Consider the following 20,799-nt stretch of genomic DNA (forward strand, 5'->3'; position numbering starts at 1 on the left):
TCCATAAGCAAACCACAAAAACATTTTAAAAGAACAAAAGAACACAGAAAAAAGGAACTTGCCCTAATGCTCACACATTCTAAAGAAGTAAAACCATACAAATTCTCAAAAGGATATTCAAAGCAGTGTCAGAGAGAGAATTTATTGTCTGATAATATTTATATACACCTCTGAATCTAGCCATCTTTCATTTATCACACTAAAATGTTACATAAGTTTTTAAAATAAAATAACTCACTAGTACTATAACATAAAGCATAAAATAATTTAGAGCATCTGAATAATATAATTTTAAAAATTTCAATCAATATGTTTGGCTTTGGCTATATACTTTATATCTTTAAAACCTTATGCAAAGTGAAAATGTAAAACAAATTTTAACTTACAGTTAAGAAAATAAGAGAGAAGTATTTGAAGCACTTGGATCCACTGGTCTCTTTTTGTCCAAGAAAACAATGAAGAATCCTTCAAGGACTCCTCTACAAATGGTTGCCTCTTTTAAAACTGTTTTGATTCAGCTTGGCTTCTGAAAAGCCATGGTCTGTGTGTAGAACATGCCAACAAATTCTGTTGGTTTTTTCCCTATGTTTTTCTCCTTGTCCAGTTACTCTTCAGAGAGTGTAATGAATTGTTGGCTGAGCGCATCATTGGTATTTGTTTATTGCTCTTTTTGGCATACACACAAAAAAAGAGATCAAATTCAAAAAGAAAAACCCACATATTTACAATTGCATGGATAACTACATATTTACAATTGCATGACTTTTAATAATTAAAAATTTGACAGCCAAGCTAAAAAAGGAGCAAATTAAAGATAAAGTTGAACAGAGAGAGAGAAAATGAGGATTGCTCATCTCAGAAATCTGAATCATTCCAATGAGAAAGTTTCATCTGAAAGTTAACTGCATTTCAGTTAAATGGTTCCTTGTATTCACTAATTCCTATGTACTAGAAAGTGTTCTAAGGGTTTAAATGAATTCTCCCATTTGATACTCAAAGCAAACCTACAAAGTTGGTACTCTACTCACATCCATTAAACAAATTTGAAAGGTGGGGCTAACAGGTGAAGTTATTTGCAGATGTTTAAATAAGTGTGAAGCCAACAGATGAGTCCAGAATAGTATCTGGACTCCAAGATCCCTCACTCTTAACTACCACTATGAAAATGGTGCTAATCAAGACAATGATATCTGATACCCATTTAAAAAGTGTAGTGGTATAGACTAGATGGCATAACTTTAATGATTTTGTTACTTTTTTTTCAGCTACAACTAAATTGGATATTCTCAGAATGGCAAATAATGCCTCTTTATCAACCCTGAAAATCTTTTTATGTGATTTTAACTATAATAATACACTTCTTGGTATGCATACAGAAGCTAATGCCCATTCATGAAAGTGACAGAGACAGAAAGGGTAAAGGACTCAGAGACTCTTCAAATGATTACCATTTTCATTAGGAATATGGAAATAAATGGTTCCTTTAATTGTAAATGTCACTAACAACAAAGGAAGCATACTTTAATTGCTTTCCTTTGTTGTTAGTGACATTTCTCTTCCTATTCAGGCAAAATCATTACTAGAAGTAAAAGTTCATGAAATAGAAAACATGAAACTTAACCTGGTTCCGATCCCAGACATTAATGGTAATATTCACTTAAATGGGTGGGGAAAACAATTAAAATCATACTATAATACAGACATACACCCTTCTTAATCACCAAATTTTTAAAATATTTTTTATTTCCATAATTGCTGTGATTTGAATGTCTCCTCTAAAATTCATGTTAAAATTTAATTACCAATGAAACAGCATTGAGAAGTGTAGCCTTTAGAAGTGGTGATTAGGTCATGAGGGCTCCACCCTCATAAATGGATTAACACTATTATCTTGGGAATGGGCTCCTGATAAAAGGATGAGTTAGGCCCAATTCTCTCTCTCTCTGTCTCATGCACATGCTTCCACCTTTCACCTTTCCACTGTGGGATGACCCTCACCAGATATCAGTGCCATGCTCTTGGACTTCTCGGCTTCCAGAACTGTGAGAAATAAGTTTCTTTTCTTTATAAATTACCCAGTCTGCTGGGTACAACTAAATCTGTGGTGTTCTGTTATAGCAATAAAAAACAAGCTAAGACAATAATTTTAGGGATTTCAATCTCCAATACGGTACAGTTGGGAGTCTGAGACCTGCATTGCAGACTTGTCACTCATTGTCTGTGTCCCTTGGAGAGGTCATATAAAATCCTCAGGTCTCTGTTACACATTTATAATAGGATTTGGACCCTTTTCATTCTTAGCCTTTACATATTTATAATTATACAGTTCTGCTACAGAGTCAGAATGTTGAAATACTCCAGATTTAGGCTTATGCACATCCACGTTACATAATACCAACTAGCACCTCCTCATCAAACTCTTCCTTACTCTTGAGTCCTTGACCCCTGAAAGCACGATGGCTTTCAGCAGGTAAATGTACTATATTAATGAACAATCAGAGGCAATTTGGCAGAAGTTTTCCTCCACATACCTCTATTTCATTCTAATTTCCCAGAGGAAACTCAGCCAATTTTTTCTAAACTCAACACCACTGCAGAATCCTTCGATCAAATTCTATTACCTAATCTAAAAATCTAGCTCTCTTGGTTATCTCTTTTTATTTTATTGTTAATTTCTATTACAATCTCTTCTCTCCTTCCATCTTTCTTTACATATGACTGGCAATTACATATGAGAAAATATTGTCACTGCCAGCTTTCTTAAGCTACCTTATCTTATAAAATATCTTATAAACTAGCTCATCTTCTTACATTCCCTGCCCAAATTTCCATTGTATTAGTTTCCTAGGGCTGCCATAACAAAGTACCACAAACTGGGTACCTTAGAAATTGATTTGCTCAAAGTGTCAGAGTCCGGAAGTCCAAAAATCATTGTCCTATCTGAAAAGCCATGCTCTCTCTCCCAGCTTCTGGTGATTGCCAGCAACCCTTGTCATTCCTTGACTTGCAGATACGTAACTCTAATATCTGTGTTGTCATTACGTGGCATTCTCTCTTCTATGTGCCTGTGTCTTCAAATGGCATTCTCCTGTGTATTTGTCTCTTTCATTCTACTAATTTTGAGTTAGTTTGCTCCTGTTATTCTAGTTTCTTGAGTTGCCATGTTAGGTTATTTGAGATCTTTCTACTTTTTTGATGTAGGCAAGTATTGCTATAAACTTCCCTCTTAAAACTGCTTTTGCTGTATCCCTTTGGTTCTAGTATATCATGTTCCCCCTTTTTGACTCAAGAATGTTCTAAATATTTTCCTTTTTAATTGCTCCATTGACCCATTAGTGGCTCATGAGGATGTTGTTTAATGTCCGTGTATTTGTACCATTTCCAATGTTCCTCCTGTTATTGATTTCTAGTTTTATTCCATTGTGGTCAGAAAAGCTACTTGATGTAATTTTGATTCTTTTAAACTTGATGAGACTTGTTCTGTGGCCTAACATATGACCTTTCCTGGAGAATATTCCATGTGCTGTTGAGAAGAATGTGTATTCTGCAGCTGTTGGACAGAATGTTTTATAAATGTCTGTTATATCCATCTGGTCTAATATGTGGTTTAATTATAATGTTTCTTTGGGATTTTCTGTCTGGATGATCTGTCTATTCCAGTTCCTTACAATTATTTATTGCAGTATATTTGTCCTTTTAGATCTATTTATATTTGCTTTATATATTTCGGTACTCTTATGTTGAGTACATATGTATTTATAATTATTATATCCTGTTGCTGTACTGGCCTCTTTATCATTATATAATGGCTTTATCTCATTTTAAAGTTTTGGTTATTTTATCAGATATAAGTATAGCTACTCCTACTCTTTTTTTTGTTTCTATGTGCATAAAATATCTTTTTCCATCTCTTCATTTTCAATCTATGTGTCTCTTTACAAGTGTAGTGAGTCTTTTGTAGGCAGCAGATAGTTGGGTCTTGTTTTTTATTCAATCAGCCACTTTATGTCTTTTGATTGAAGAATGTATTTCATTTATATTCAAGTTAATTATTGATAGATGAGGGCTTACTGCTGCCATTTTGATACCTGTTTTCTAGTTGTTTTGTGGACCCTTTCTTCTCTTACAATCTTCCTTTGTGTGTAAATGATTTTCTCTAGTAGTGTTTTGATTTCTTGCTTTGTATTTTTAATATATCTATTATAGGTTTTTGCTTTGTGGTTACCGTAAGGCTGACAAAAAAACATCTAACAAGTTATTTTAAAATAACTTAACTTTGATAGCAAAGGAAAAATAAAAAAACTGTACACTTAATTCCATTCTCCTCCCACATTTTGAATTTTTGATGTCACAATTTTTAAATTTTACATTTTATATTGCCTATCTCTTAGCAAATAATTTATTATTTTTAATAGTTTTGACTTTTATTCTTCATACTAACGATATAAGTGGTTTATGCTCCACAATTACAGTATTAGAATAACAATCATGTTAGCATTCTTCTCTTTAGATTAGAACTCCCTTCAGCATTTCTTATAGGACAGGTCTGATAGTAATGAATTCCCCTCAGCTTTTGTGTGTCTAGTAAAGTCTTTATCTCTCCTTCATTTCTGAAGGACAGCTTTGCTGGATACAGTATTCATGGTTGGCAGTTTTATTTTCCTTCAGTACTCTGAATACATCATGTTCCACTCCATCCTGGCCTGTAAGGTTTCTGCTGGAAAAGTCTCTTGTCAGGTGTATTGGAGTTTCCTTATATGCTATTTGCTTCTTTTATTTCTCTATTTTCAGGGTCCTCTATTTGTCTTTGACCTTCCAAAGTTTGATTATAATATATCTTGGGGTATTCTTATTTGGGTTGAATCTGATTGATTAGCTGTGATCTTCCAGTTCCTGTATATTTATATCTTTCTCCAGGTTTGGAAAGTCCTATTATTATTTCTTTGAATAACCTTCACACTGCTTTGTCTTTCTCAACTCTCTCTTTAACTCCAACAACTGGAATATTTTCTCTTTTAATGTTGTTCCATCAATTCCATAAGCCTTCTTCACTGTCTTTTCATTCTTTTTTTTACCTCCTCTGATTATTTCCAAACAGCCTGTCTTTGAGTTCCCTAATGTTTTTATTCTATTTGATCAGTTCTGCTCTTGATGGTCTCTATTTCATTTTTCATTATGCTCCCTGTATTTTTCAACTCCGGCATGTTTGTGGTTTTTTTAATTATTATTTCAATCTTCATTAAATTATCTGATAAATTTCTGAATTGTTTTTCTGTATATTCTTGAAGTTCATTGATCTTCCTTAAAACAGCTATTTTACATTTTTTGTCTGAAAGATCACAATCCCCATCACTTTAGGGCCAGTCCCTGGTGCCTCATTTTGTCCAGTTGGTAAGGTCATATTTTCCTAAATGTTCTTGATGCTTGTGGATGTGTGACAATGTCTGCACATTGACGGATTAGGCATTTATTCTAGTTTCCCCAATCTGGCTTTGTTTATATCCATTCTTCTTCAGGAGATCTTCCACAGACTCTAAGGAGACTGACTGTTGTCTTCCCTGAGCCCAAGACCAGTACAGCTGTCTCAGCATTAGAGCATTAAAGGGCATGCTAAGCCCAGGTTTGCTATGAGTCTTGGGAGAGCTCTGAGATTTATGCAGCTTTCTAGCCCAGATAGACCTGGGGAAGACCAAAGAAGGGTACCCAGGTTGTATGAAAAATCTGGCCAGAAACCTAAACCCAGAAGACTGTTCTGGTAGCTAAGATGGATGTCCATCTCCTACAGTCCCTGGACAGGTGAGGTAGTTCATTGATTGTAGCAGGTGAGGCCAGGGCTGAGACTGGGGACCCTTGGATCTCCTGCAGAAGGCAGCTGGCAAGCCTATCTTATTGGCTCAGATGAGTGTGCATCTCCCAGCAAGTCTCTGCACAGATGGGCTAGTTCCCTGACTGCAGAGGGGTCAGAACTGAGGCTGGCTTCCCTCAGGATCTATTATGGGACAGAGGCTGGAGAGCACAACATGGAAGTTCAGACTCCCAGGATGCAAGACATGGGCGAGTCTCACTCTAGGTCCTTGTGTGAGCAGTTCTGAGCTGGGACTTTAGCAGAGAAGGGCTGAAGTCAAGTCACAGGGCAACTTTCAGATTCATTGTCAGCAGTCAGAGGAGGCTCTCTGTTGAGGCACTAGTGTACATGATTCTTTCTGGACTCCTTGGCAGATGGTTTTGGTTGTAGGCTCAAGACCAAATGAGTTTTTAGCCAAGCTCCTTGGGGAATGGAACCATTTCCAGGCTTGAACCCAGAAGCAAAATCAGCAGATCAGCCACTAGGGTGCTAGTCTGCACTCTCAAAACAACCTCTAGGTCTTGGGATCCACTGGGGTTTCACAATCTTATACCTGAATCCTGAGGCTCCTGCACAGAGACTTTGGTCTGTGGTGGTGCAGAATTATTGTTGTTATGGGGGGTGGCGGGTAATGAGTGGGTTACCTTCTATTATGTCATCTTGCTGGCATCACTCTCCCCAGTTAATTTTGATGCTGCTGGTCAATGAATTTTTTGCTCTACAAAATTTGCATAGAGCAATGAAACAATGGCGTTCACAGAGTAAACCTTCAATTAATCTTAATTACCATTTTTAATGCTTAGTTCTTATACGTCAAGTCTCTTCTAACAATTGGAATTGTTTTACTTCTTAAATATTCCAAATAAAATGCCACTTGTTTTTTGCTCATCTTGATGCTTTCTCCCAGTGGGAATTATCAATTAAATTCTTAAGTAATGATTTGTTTAAGGAAAAAAATTAACTAATTTTTCTGAAGGATGTGACTATCACTGGTTTTCCCTTTTGAAGCAAAAGAAATGAGAAGTAAAAAATTAGATTTGAGACTATGGTTACATCTTTATTTAAAAAGACGATAAACAACACCATTTCTGGAGGTTTCCTTTAACCATCTCTGCCCATCTCCCTCCAAGTTATCCCAGTTATCAATAAAATTTACTTTCAATATTAGAGATAACTAGATTCTGTGCCATTTGGAGAGTGCCTGAAACGTTTCCTATTTTGTGGCTCCTCAAAGAGACCAAAGGAGGGATTTATAACCGGTGATTACAATCTAACTTCAGGTTCTTGTCCTGTCCTATCTAAGAACCATTCCTGTCCTTTTCAACCTCTAGCTGTTCTGCCTTCTTTAAGTTTGTTGAATGGCTAGGAGTATCCTCTGGCTCACCCCTCTTACTTTGTTCTAACCTCTTGAACTCTATTACTGCCTCACCATTTCTCAAATGAACTAGCACTTGGGTGACTCTGGCTCAGAAGAGTTCTGCTCTGGCTTCTTAGTTCATTCAGTTCTGGCTTCTTAGACTGCCTTGCTGTCACTGCCACTACTCAAGCGGCCTTACCCCACCCCTTTCTGGGACCAGAAAGGTATCCCTTTGGCACAAGCCTCTGCTGCCATCTGGTGGTCAGAGTTTCACTCTTTTTCTGTCCCATTTCTACTAGGCACCCACCCACACCTTGCATTGTGCTGCTTCCACCTGGCAGGATTAGAAACTGTATCTCTCATGGTTACTGAGATTTAAAAAAAAGAAAACAAAAAAAACAAAAACAAAACCTTAATTTTAAAGTTAGAGATGCAATACTTTTAAATAATCTTGACACTGTCACATTTCAGTGTAAAATTCATTGTCCCCCAGCACAGTTACAACTCTGAATTTAAATTGTACATTGTAAATTCTTTTGAGCTTTAACTAGGCAAAAGAAAACTTCCAGTGGCTTTCTATACAATTCAGTTCTCAACTTTTGTCTCAGTTGTCTGCTGTATAGGTTTTGTATCCTCAGCTGCATGGGAATAACCATGAGGACAAAGATAAGATCCTGGGTTTGCATCTTACAATACCTATATATATATGGCCAAGTCAAATAGTAGTAGGATTTTTTGAAAAGATTCTTTCTTTGAACTTCAAAATGTAAGCAAAGCTATTCAAACTTGTGGATCGGCCACACTGTCTTTATAAACAGTTTATTTTTATCCAGGGCACCTACTTCTAATATTTATAATGCAGGCTTGTAAATCCCCCCTGCCCAAAGTGAGTAGTCCCAAATTGGGAACCCCATTGAGAAATGACTTAAGAATAGCAAATAAGTAACTTCACATGTAAGAAGATAGTTCACATAATATTCAAAGACAACCTAAGATTAACTGAAAACAGCACTGAAAGAAGACATGCATTCAAATATGCACAAAGACCTTGAGAATAAGTCTGCAGACAGAGTCTATGAAACTGATAGAATGTATTTATTACAAGATTAGAATCGAAATTTTCTCCCTACTACCTCAATCTGAGTGAACCAGAATCAAGAATCTACCTCCTTTCAGCACTGAGTATGAAACATTACTTGTGTATGGAAAAACTACAGAAAATAATTAAAACAAACTTTTCCACTGACGCCTTTGGATAAATGAATCAATTTTCAACCCAAATCAATGCATTAAATCAGTATTTTCAAATGGGAGTAATTTTGTCTTCCTCCCCCTACCCCCACCCCAACCCTCCCTCAGGAAATATTTGGCAAAGTGTGGAGACATTTTTGGTCTTGGGAGAGTGTGCTACTGGCATCTGGTGGGAAGAGGCTAAGAATGTTACAAATACCCTGTAACACACAGGACAGTCTCTCACAACGAAAAATTATCCAGCCCAAAATGTCAATAGTACCAAGGTTAAGATACCCTGTATTAAACAATAGCAAATCACTTCAGTGCAAAATAAGTTTCCTAAGGAGAAATCCAGTATATTTTGGATAGTGAAGAGGAAATGGCAAAAGTTATTATTTTCTGGTCAAATATTAATGGCATGGGATTTTGATATACTCCTTCTGTAGCACAATGTCTAACCAAGGCTTCCAATATACTAGCCACTTCTTACTCATTTAATTCATGATGTCATCAATGGAGTCGACAAGTCTTACGTTCTATGAAATGACCAGCTGATCCAGGTCTCTTTTGGAATTTATTGGCAGAGAGAAAGAAAACCCTAAACGTAGCCTTAGGGCAGAGCAAAATGTATACTTTTGTACATTCCAGATCAATGCAAAATGTTTCTGATTGGAATGGAAAATGGGCCATTTGCCAAATCAGTGGCTGTATACCACATGACAGAAGCTCTTCTTAATCAGCTCTGGCAAAGATAGCACATCTGGTTAATCTACTCAACTGAAGCCAACAGTTGGCTGAATTTGCTCTAGACTAATATCCTCCTCTAGAACTGGATTTTTGCAGGACCAAGATTAGTATATTTAACACGGAAATATTATAAAGACCATCCCCCTCCCACTTGCATCTTTAGGTCTTTAAGGGTGGCACTAACTTCTTCCATTCCTTTCCCATTCCCTCTCCCAAAATGAAATGTTTTTATTTCCTATCTTGACTGCGGCTAGTACAGTTTTCTCACTGTAATTTCCCCAAAATTCATGTCCTTCCTAAAAGCCTCAGTAGGTGACTGTATTTAGAAAAAAGATCTTTGCAGATGTAAAAAGACAAGGTAATATTGGAGTAGGGTGGGCCCTAAATTCAAAATGACTGGCAACCTTTGAAGAAGACACAAGACATTCACAGGGAAGACAGCTATGTGACAAGATTGGAGATAAGCATCTGCAAGCTAAGGAACATGAAGAATTTCCAGCAACTGGCCGGGCACAGTGGCTCACACCTGTAATCCTAGCACTTTGGGAGGCCAAGGTGGGTGGATTATGAGGTCAGGAGTTTGAGACCAGCCTGGCCAATATGGTGAAACTCTGTCTCTACTAAAAAATACAAAAATTAGATGGGCATGGTGGCAGGCACCTGTAATCCCAGCTACTCGGGAGGCTGAGGCAAGAGAATCGCTTGAACCCGGGAGGCAGAGGTTGCAGTGAGCTGAGATCACGCCATTGCACTCCAGCTTGGGCAACAGAGTGAGACTCTGTCAAAAAAAAAAAAAAAAATTTCCAGCAACTACCAGAAGCTAGAAAAGAGGCATGGAACTGATTCTCCCTCTGAGTATCCAAAAATGAACCAACCCTGCTGACATCTTGATTTTAGACTTTTGGCCTCTAGAACTGTAAGAGAATAAGCTTCTGTTTTTTTAAGCCACTCAATTTGTGGTACTATGTTACAGCAGCCCTAGAAAACTAGTATACACACTATGATAGTTCTTACCCCATAGGTCAAGAAAACAATGGGGGTTATGCCAACTCCCATGTATATCTATTCCAATTACAAATCAGGGACTAGAGACATGACAGATAGGTCTACAGACTAGTGGATTCTCTATGAACTAGCTCTAGGCTAGGATTTTAGTTATTATCTAGAACTCAAATGCCTCTTACTCTGTCAGAGAGGGCATGATGATACTTTACTTTGAGTCTTTGGACTTGTGTCAACTTTGACCCTGTGGTAAACAGGCCTTAAAATGATTGGGCATTCTGTTTTCTCCAGTATATAATTACCTGAGTTAAAGGCTATAGATTACTTTGGAGGAGGTCTGAGGAAACCAATACCATATATCATTTGCAGGGTCCCTCCTCCTAGGGACCCAACTTCTCTTTCAATTGGTTGTGGGTACAAAAACTGGCTCAGATCCAGAAACCAGAGAGGACTCATGACCTTCTGTTGAGGCAATTGTCTTCAACCTTCTGATCACCCATCATTGATTTAATTGTAAAGAATGAGTACTCCATTGATGATCCATTCATTTGGCCCCTACAGATGCAATGTTCTATTAAATATCTCCATAACTGTGGATCACTGTCCCCATCCCCCACAGCCTAGCTGTTGTCAAAGATAACATGGCCTAAAAACTAAAGCAGTGAAAACAAATTTTATTTGGTAACTACTGACAGTAGGGGAAAGAGCTGAGCTGCCTTCTGATCTGTACAGAGGTGATTGGGGTGTTTAAAAAGGAGAGTGGGAGTAGGGAGGTTGTAGGGGCTCAGCAGAGTCAGAGAAATAGAAAAGTACAAAGGGTTGGTCAGTGTGAATGTGATTAGGTCAGCTGTGTTTCTTAGCTGGCAATTATCAGTTAGGATTCTATCCTCTCACAGAGACTGGAAGACAGAGGCCTTATCCTTCTTGATAACTATTTTTAAAAAGAATGGTTCCCAGGTCGTTGGAGAAAGAAACATGTGAGCTGCAAAAGATACATATTTATAATTGTAAGCTCCTTTTAGTAAATAAATGCTCTAAGAAATCAGATCAGGGGCCTGTTATCATGTGTTGGCTACAACAAAAAGTAGATTTTTCTGGTAGTATTGAGCTTTCTCAGACTGTTATTTAAATGGGGGTAGGGACCTGCGATCACCCTACAGACACTGCCTTATGCTGCTAGAGGCCGTGCTAAAATTTGGTCAAGTCTCTCAGTGTCAGGCTTTCGACAGAGTTGTTCTGTGTTGAGAGCTCTGCAGTTCTTTTTACAGTAATTGTGTCCCCATGGTTTCTTAGGTTTCTAATTGTTGAGTGCTGCCACCCGGCCTCTATTAGTCAGGATTTTATCACCCCCATTGCTCTCTGTGAGCCCAGTGTTATCATGGTATCACTTACCATCAGCTCACAGGACAGCCACCTCTAGCTGTATAGTGACGTTGGCGTGCCCTTCAATAGTACCTTCCTTGTTCGTTTGAATTTAGTCATCTACTGTGTTTTCCAAACTCATATAGTACACCCACGCAGGATGCCTGGTTTTCTGGGTGTTTTCACCCTTTTCTTGCATCATGTACCATGGCTTTTCAATATTTATACATGACATTGGGTGGGCAATTGCTTTTTCCATGCAGGAAGCATCTTAACAGTGTGTTCTTGCTAAGAACCATCTCTTGGGATTCTTGCCAGGACATTAAAAATCCTTTAGGCCAGAAGAGTACTCTGAATAAACTCTTATCCAACTTTATGTTCTGCATTGTTTGATCATGCACCCTTAAAATCCAGTCCCATGCACATTCTCCTAGCTCTTATGGGTAGATGTGGCTAGCTCCTGCAGCTCTTGTGTGATACAGTACATTTCTTCCCTCAGAAATACCAGCACAACTTTCGCCAAGTTACTTTATGTCTTAATCCTTGTTATTGGCCATTAGGAAGGAAGTTAGGAGCAGATCCTGGAATGGGGCTTGTATTAGTTTGCTAAGGCTGCCCTAGGGAGTTGAAAAGTGTGACCCGTTTGATGGTAGCACTCTCAGAGGCAGGAGAAATAAGTTCTTTATTTCTGAAGGGGAATATAGGCAGTTCATTTCAGCATCCACAGGAGCCTGAACAATGGGCCATTCTATGGTCCCAGAATAGAGGAAATGGAGGGTTTGGAGTGGCTAACCTAGTTTCCAAACTAAAGCACTCTTCGGTTGGTACAGTGAAATGCAATTTCTTTAGTAAATAGTACCATGTGGTGAGATTTTGGTGGTCTGTCTTCTGACTGTGATATTAACTTGTTTCTGTAGAACTCTTCAGCTGCCTGACTTCTCTACATCATCAAGCCTCCAAGGGATGGGCCCCTTCCAAAGTTGTCTTCCTCTTTCCCAGCAGTGCTTTCCCAAGAAATCAATCACAAACTCAATTTCACTTTACAATTTCCTTCTTTTCAGTTCTTCAGTAGCTAAGATTTGTGCCACTGGGTCTCAAATCTGTTCTCAGAATTTCCTTACTCTGGGTAAGACCCCTTGCCTTCTGGCAGTGTGCTTCAGTTAACATTACCTATGTTTCACTACTGCTAGGGCCTTGCTGTACCATCAATACCCCCTGACTCTCAGCTTGTGAATGGGTTCCAAAACTAACACTGCTCCCAGTATTTATTTCCTTTGCTCACTGGACATCTCCACTTGGATGTCTAATGAGCATCTCAAACTTAACAAATACAAAACTGATCTTTCCCTCAAATCCTCAAACCTAAACTTCCACGGTCTTCTTCATCCACTTGATGATACTAGTAGAAGATACGTTCAGAGACATAATTGCTGATAATTCTACTCTTCCAGAGGCTCAGACAAAACAAAAAACAAAAAGCCCTTGTGTCATTGACTCCCTTTCTCCCATACTCCATGTACTATAATCTCCACCTTCTCAATATTCAGAATTAGACCACTTCTTATTCACCTTCCTGATTCAACTCACCATCTCTTGCCTCATCAAATGCAATGGCCTCCTAACAGGTCTCTTGTGCTCTGTCCCCTCATATCTGATTATTTTCAACACAGCAGCTAAACTGTTCCTTTCAAATATGCCTAATGTTGCCACACCTCTACTCAAAACCCTCCAATGACTTCTGATCTCATTGAATGTCAATAAAATGTCCATAAGGGCCCTTTCGATCCCATCTTCCACTAGTGTCCCCCTTAATCAGTTAGCTAAAGCTTCACTGGTTCTGTTTCTCAAATATGCCACTCACACCTTGCCTCAGGGCCTTTGTACTTGCAGTACCAACTCACCTTCTCAGTGTAGTCTTGCCTACATGAGATCAGTGTGCTTTCATCTGCAGCACCAAGAGTCCTTATCTCCCTCCCCATCATCTAACATACTATGTATTTTTTTAAAGTAGGTAATTTGTCTTACTATAATAAAAGCTCAGTGAGGGCAGAGACTTTTGTCTATTGTTTCAATAATGTATATGCCTAGTGCTTAGAAAAGTGCTTGATTCTTAACTGACATACAATAAAATATTTGTGAATACTGAATAATAATGAAAAGCAGTCTTTCTTTGAAACTTAAAGACTTTAGGCACCATCATAGACGGCTCTAAAAACTATCTAGTGTCTTAATTTGGTGAAGGTAAATTCAAAGGATGCCTACTTACTAAAGAATTAGAAGATACAGATAAGGCCTTTTAAAATTAGCAGATATGATAACACTAGAAGCTGAGATTTCTTACCAATTTGTAAAGCTTGATGTATAATTTTAATCTCATTCTATCACAAACTTGATTTCATGTACACTGATGTATGAGAATTTAAATGTAGTCAACAGAAAACCAATATCAACTACATCATAATCACATAACAATATCAATAGTATAATTTGGCCAAAGAAATTACTAGCCAATACATATACATCACAACTAGCACTCAACATCTTTTCCTACAACTATATGACAAAGATATGTTAATAAATAAAAATTAGATAAGGTGAACCAAAACAATAATGGTATTATTCTGTCAGTAAAATGACTATAGTATTATGGTTAATTAGACATATAAGAATTACAAAACAGAAAGGAAAGTAAAATTGCAACCCAGGTGAGGAATTCATTTTCTTTCTTTCTGTTTTTTTCTTGAGACAGAGTCTCGCTCTGCCGCCCAGGCTGGAGTGCAGTGGCGCGATCTTGGCTCACTGCAACCTCTGCCTCCTGGGTTCAAGCAATCCTCCTGCCTCAGCCTCCCAACTAACTGGGATTACAGGCACGTGCCACCACACCCAGCTAATTTTATATTTTTAGTAGAGACAGGGTTTCACCATGTTGGCCAGACTGGTCTCGAACTACTGACCCTCAGCCTCCCAAAGTGCTGGGATTACAGGTGTGGGCCACTGCACCCGGTCTGAGGAATTCATTTTCATTAATTAAGCACGTTATACTATAGTCACAACACAGAAGCTGGAAAGTCCTATTATCATGAATTTGGATGAAACGTAATAATAAAACCTAAAAAACATCTTGTTTTAGCGGAAAATACTGGGTTGCAAAAACCTGAAACTTAGATTGGGTTAACTCACAACTTAAAGCTCAAAAATCAAAGTTTGAACATAAAAGAAGGGCCACCTCAACAGTTGCCAGTTTAGTCTTAGAAGGCAGATCCAGGTTCTATGCTTATATCATTATTTAGTTTAGTTGATAGATACCCCTTGATCAGTCCCAATTGTTAACTGAGAAACCTAATTAGCATCCATCTCTTGGTCTCAAATTATCAAAGGGATAAATTTTGATAGTGTGAGATAGCTCTTTTATTGGCAAATGTGTAACTCTGCAAAGGTATATATGTAGACACGGTGAAAAAATTACTTCTGATTAGTGTACTGATACTGTATTTATTTGAGAATCTTGCACACACATCACGTAACAACAGGGATATGTTCTGGGAAATGCATCATTAGGCAATTTTGTCACTGTGCTAAGGCAATAGCCTATTACACATCTAGGCTATATGATACAGCCTGTTGGTCCTAGGCTACAAACCTGGACAGCATGCTACTATACTTAATACTGTAGGCAACTGTAACACAATAGTAAATATTTGTGTACATAGAAAAGGTACAAGAAAAATACAGTATTATATTTTATCATCTTACTATGTGGCCCATTTTTGACCAAAATGTTGTTATGCAACACATTACTATATTTATGCAAGTGTGGCTGCAAGCCTTATAACCAGGAAGTTTTGTGTATTTTGCCTATTTTTACGATGCTTGAAGGCCAGGTACAGTGGTTCACACCTGTAATTCCGACACTTTGGGAGGCCAAGGCAGGAGGATCCCTTAAGCCCAGGAGTTTGAGACCAGCCTGGGCAACATGGCAAAACCCCATCTCTACAAAAAATACGAAAATTAGCTGAGTGCAGTGGTGCATGCCTGTAGTACCAGCTACTCAGGAGGCTGAGGTGGGAGGATCACCTGAGCCTGGGAGCTTGAGGCTGCAGTGAGCCGGGATTGTGCCACTGTACTCCAGCCTAGGCAGCAAAGTGAGACCCTATCTCAAAAACGAAAGAAACACCAAATGATGCTTGAAATTCTTGAGAACTTGATTTTTTAATTTAAAACGGTAATTTAATTTGCAAGAGTTGTTTAGGCACTTGGGAAGAATCTGTTCATTAAGTTTAAAATATTGCCTAAGTGTTTGTATGAATCAATTCATTCAAAAATTCTAAGGAAAGTGATAAATATGTAAGTAGTGTTAAATATCTGAGAGTAACTGAACCTGTTATATGTGATAATGTGTAAGTTAAAGTGATTGCTTTCTATTTACAAAAAAATACATTCAAGACAAAAAGATCTATAAACATACCTAGTTTATGTTTAAAATCTGAATGTAAATTAAAACAAAGTAATTGTCAATGTTCCTTCTGCACTTGAAAACTAGCCTCAGATACTTAAAAAAAATTACTAACAATTTTAGTGCCAGGTTTTTGCATCATTTTTAATATGAGCTACTCATTATTCAATTATCAGCACTAAATAACAAAGAATTCACTTCAGTATACAAAATGACTTGTCTTAAATTTTCAACTCTTAAAGCTTATTATTAATATAATCATATTTATTTTTCTTAAAGAGCAGCATTGAGAATTGCTTACATATATTATAAATAAAAAATAATTAAACTTTTACCTGATAAGAATAGCTGATATAAAAATTATTCATCTGAGAATAAATTCTTTCATTTTAGGAAATAAGCTATTTCAGGAAAGAAAATAAAAAATCAATGTTAGCAAATTAAAAATACATTAAGGATAAACATTTCTATTTCTCAAAAATTAATGCCTATTTACATGTTACACAAAAATACAGTATGGTATTTTAACAAACTCAGGGCACAATTAGAATGAAGTTTTGAGTAACTAACAGAACAACAATAAAAACAATAATAACAACACTTATCCTAAGTAAAATTAATTGTGCTCCTATAAAACGTTGTTAGTACTACTAGCAAAGGATTTGTCATATTATAGTTAGTTATATAAAATAATAGCTAGTTATATAAGTTATATAAGTAATATATTATATATATTTTATGTAAGTTATATAAGTATCTATCTTACAGATCTCCACGATCTTACAGGGCCAAAACTGATAGTCATCCGAGTTCTCTCCAAAGAATCCATTTCTGGAAACATAATCACTTAAAATATTTGTTAAATTACATTACTCTAAAAATGTTTTAATGATTAAAACCAAAATACTGACCTAAGATAATTTGTGCAAATTTAAAAGAAAAAAATTATTTTAAAGAAAACCCACTGTCTTTACTGAAAACAAACTAGAAAAAAAAATTAAGAGCCCACAAAAGTAAGATGTAAAGTACACTCATCATGTTTTTTCTTGCCTTATTAGTCAGTAAACACTCACTCAGTAAAGCTCAGCTTTTACTTTCCTTTGAAAATTTGACCATGAATGGGAAATATAAGGTTGGTGATGTTGCTTTTGCCTAATATGTATATTTATTTATTTATCTGTACTGACATAGAAAAAAGTTTTGAGATCAGTAATTTAAGACATTTTAAAATTAGTATGTTCATAAACATGAACTGTACACTGTAAATAAATATATTTCACTTTTTGCCTCCTTTGCTTTCCAGCTCACTTACCCTTGTTTTCCTAAGAATTAAGTTATATTTCTCCTGAGTCAGATTTTGTTACTGTGAAAAAGGGAACATAATTTAATTTAACAACCAAAATATATTCTGAGTATATAAAAACTAAAAAAAAATTTGAATGTCTTTTAAAATTGTTTACAAGAGCATGTATTCATATACATTAAAAGCAAAGTAACTAAATGAACAAAATAAATAACATGATTGTGACTACTCAACTTTCACTTTGCAGGAAAAAAAATTTACTTTGCACCAATTACACATTCACAAATGTAAAGTGAAAGTTACCAAATCTACGTGCAAAAGCAGGTAATTTTCTTCATTAGTCATGCTCTATCTTCAGATGACATAACTTTCTTAGGATGGTCAGGTTCTAAAAAAAACTATGCTTTTTCGTGACTGCCTTAGTAAACTATAGATATAATTTTGTTGCTTTTACTAAACTTAAGTATTCAAGGTTACACATAATTACAAAAGCACATCCCAAAAAAGAGGTCCCTGGGTATTTATGTGAACATTATATATACTTTAGGAAAGTGTATAGCAACTGCCCCCAGCAATGGGGGAAAATATCAGCCACGTACTTTGTACCGAGAAAGAACACTTTTAAATCCACTGCTAGAGCCTAAAATCACAGATGTCTTATTACACAATAAAGCTAAAAGTTCATTAAATTTTGCCTACATTAAAGAATGAATAATGCCACTGAAAGGTTTTGCTTATTTAAAGTAATTCAGTACCAAATCCTTCTGTCATTGCTGTTGTTGTTGTCTAATACAATAATCACACTCTCAATATATTTGTTTTATGAAGTTAATACTTTCATTTGGTTGAAATGTAATGTCAACTAGCATTATTTACACTATTTTATACCTTGAGCCAATACATGGGTTGTACAAGGAAGTATTTCTAAGAAAATATTAGCCATGCCTTTAACTCTATCAAAAATGAAATTCTGGTTCTTATTAAAAAGAAATAGGCGCACTGCACTTACAATTCTTAATTTAACCCTTGAAAGAGTTTATTCATATCCTACCATGTTCCAAAGTCAATGAGGTAAGTTACTAAATAAATCTACACACTGATCTACTTACAATTTTATAGAAGAGATTCACTAAAGTTTACCAATAAAAACAAATACCCAATAAAATATTTTATTCAAGAACAAAATTAAATGTGCCCTTTGCAAGGAAGATGACAAAAAATTTATATGTTCCAAGAGTGATGAAGGAAAAGGTATGGCTTAATTCTACCACCTCCATAGATAACTGTCATTCTAGCCACAGAGTCAAAGAATCAGACTATTACGTAAGATTCTACACACAGTCTTCCTTTAATTATAATAACTAAAACCTTCTGAATTTTACTTTAAATTAAAGAAATGTAATTTCACATACCTAATTACCTAAGCCTAAAATCATGTACTAGAACAAGGGCTCATTTCACTTATTATGATCAATGACTGCCACCTAGTGGATATAACTTTCCTCAAATCTCTATATTGAGATTTCCTAGTGCTTACACTTCAGCTTTTACGGATGACAACTTCCATTCAAAGTGGCTTTTTTAGAAATTAAAAAGGAGAAGCAAGAAACTTTCACATTGCTTTATGTATCTTTTCTATGCATTAGTTATGAATTAGTTTTTTATTTAGATTGGAACATTACGTACTTATTTAAGAAGATGGCATAAACTTAAAGATAACTTAAAAATAAAACTATTCTATTACAATTCCTTTAAATCACAAATTCAGAAGCACTGTTTCTGAATGGTGAAAAAGATGACATACAAACTATATAGTTCAATATACTTCAATACAAACATGCAGCTTCACTTAATTATACATACGTTTTATTTAAAGAAAAGCAAAACACACAACCACAGCATTTCAATTAAGGAGCTTAGAAAAATTTCAAGTGCGTTCTTGGTTCTCCAGTTACCATTCCAATAAAAAACTTTTTAAACCAAAGTTAAAATTAAGTGAAAAAGAAAGAAGTCCCAGTAAGCAGACCGAACAATACAAATTCAAAATACTACTCTATCTTCTTGTGTTCGTTCCCACCAAAGTGTGCTGTTTAAAGTTCCACAACTATTATCTTCCTCCTCTTGTTCTTTAGTGAGTTCTACAAAAACCTAGGTGAAAAGAAATAAATGAATACAGTATGCTGTATCTCAAGTACCTCAAAGAACTTTTAACTAAATCAGAAATGGTACAAGGCTATATCTAGTTATATCAACAAGTATCAAGAGATTTATTAACATTAACATTATTCAAACAGATTATTTTCAAAAGTTACATGCAAAGATGAATACTATTTTAGATTAATAGATATGTTTTTTAAAAAATAATTCATAACTACTTAAACAATGTAATTTCAAATACACTAATGTGAAACACCACCATCATGACTCACTTTCTTTACAAAATGAAAAAAACAGATATTCAAAATCAGCAAATGAAAGTTAGCTTGATTTAAGCATTCCATATTGCACACATGTATCAAAACATCACTGTACCCAATAAACAGTGTGATTTGTCAATTTAAAATAATATCAATTTAAAAAATAAAATTTAAAAAATTAGTAAGTGAAGAACCTAAGGTTGATTAAAATTATACCAAGTTTAAGATCATTCTGTACCAATTTGTCACTGGTTTACGATATCTCTCCCTCTCTAATATAAACCAAAACAATCGATATCAGATACTTTCTTCTATAAAATAATTTTTAAAAATTTAACTTTATAGTACCTGTTCCAATGTTGCTTGAGAAAAGCTATATTCTTCAATGGCAAAAGCATGTTTAGCTATTAAAATATAAAAATAGTATTTTACTTATCAATATCTGAAAAAAATGGCAATACCTACCAAAGTGGCTAACAATGTTTTAAAATATCTCTGTAATCAACCCACTTAAATTTGAAGCTGCCAAAACATGTTATTTTTCCCGCTTACTTCCTTTCTCTTCCCCACACCTATAATTCCTCTATAGCCCTAAGTACTGTATGTTGAATGTTACTTGTCTTATTTCACTTTTTCTAAGTTCTCCTCCATTATCTTTTTCCTGGTGATTCTTTTCATGTCTTCTTTTGATCCCTGCTCTCTTATCTCCCATTCTCCAACTCCACTGTAGCCTATTCTGGCTTCTTGAACTAGATTCTGGATATTGGTCCTATCTCCATAAACCTTTTGTTTTGTTTTGTTTTGTTTTTAAGACAAGGTCTTGCTCTGTTGCCCAGGCTGGTATACAGTGGCCTGGGCAACACAGCAAGTATACAATCATGGTTCACTGCAGCCTCGACCTCCCAGGCTCAAACAATCTTCCCACCTCAGCCTCCTGAGTTAGCTGGGACTACAGGCACATGCCACTATACCCGGGTAATTTTAAAAAATATTTTGTAAAAACAGAGTCTCACTATGTTGCTCAGGCTGGTCTTGAACCATGGGCTTAAGGGATCCTCCCGCCTCAGCCTCCCAAAGTGC

At 36.1% G+C, this 20,799-nt stretch overlaps 2 protein-coding genes and 1 long non-coding RNA gene across 5 annotated transcripts in view, besides 1 other annotated feature; all 3 read right to left on the reverse strand.

Moving 5' to 3' along the window:
- Positions 1–16,654, reverse strand: part of ABCA10 (ATP binding cassette subfamily A member 10) — a 96,842-nt gene extending 80,188 nt beyond the window's left edge. Inside the window, exons 1-2 of one of the 2 annotated variants that reach the window (NM_080282.4) lie at positions 16,335–16,654; positions 387–666 (exon numbers count right to left, since the gene is read on the reverse strand). The gene's annotated coding sequence lies outside the window, so the exon portion shown is untranslated. Of the gene's footprint in view, positions 1–386; positions 667–16,334 lie in introns of those variants that run through there. The other variant, NM_001377321.1, reaches the window with a different exon arrangement.
- Positions 4,550–4,750: a silencer, noted in NCBI's record as "peak2966 fragment used in MPRA reporter construct". NCBI's record gives its function as "represses an SCP1 promoter by STARR-seq MPRAs in K562 erythroleukemia cells {active_cell/tissue: K562}" and the evidence as "EXISTENCE:reporter gene assay evidence [ECO:0000049][PMID:32103011]".
- Positions 4,781–6,818, reverse strand: PRO1804 (uncharacterized LOC100133319). The gene has a single exon (NR_130736.1). It is a non-coding gene; the product is annotated as an uncharacterized LOC100133319 (long non-coding RNA).
- ABCA5 (ATP binding cassette subfamily A member 5) overlaps positions 16,117–20,799 on the reverse strand; it is an 82,823-nt gene continuing 78,140 nt past the window's right edge. For both annotated transcript variants that reach the window (NM_172232.4, NM_018672.5), the window contains 2 exons: positions 20,068–20,123; positions 16,117–19,450 (listed from right to left, as the gene is read on the reverse strand). In NM_172232.4, the coding sequence (NP_758424.1) occupies positions 19,343–19,450; positions 20,068–20,123 (164 nt within the window). In that variant the 3' untranslated portion in view covers positions 16,117–19,342. The remainder of the gene's footprint in view (positions 19,451–20,067; positions 20,124–20,799) is intronic.

Source organism: Homo sapiens, chromosome 17 (genome assembly GCF_000001405.40).
Source record: "Homo sapiens chromosome 17, GRCh38.p14 Primary Assembly".
Lineage (NCBI taxonomy): Eukaryota > Metazoa > Chordata > Mammalia > Primates > Hominidae > Homo > Homo sapiens.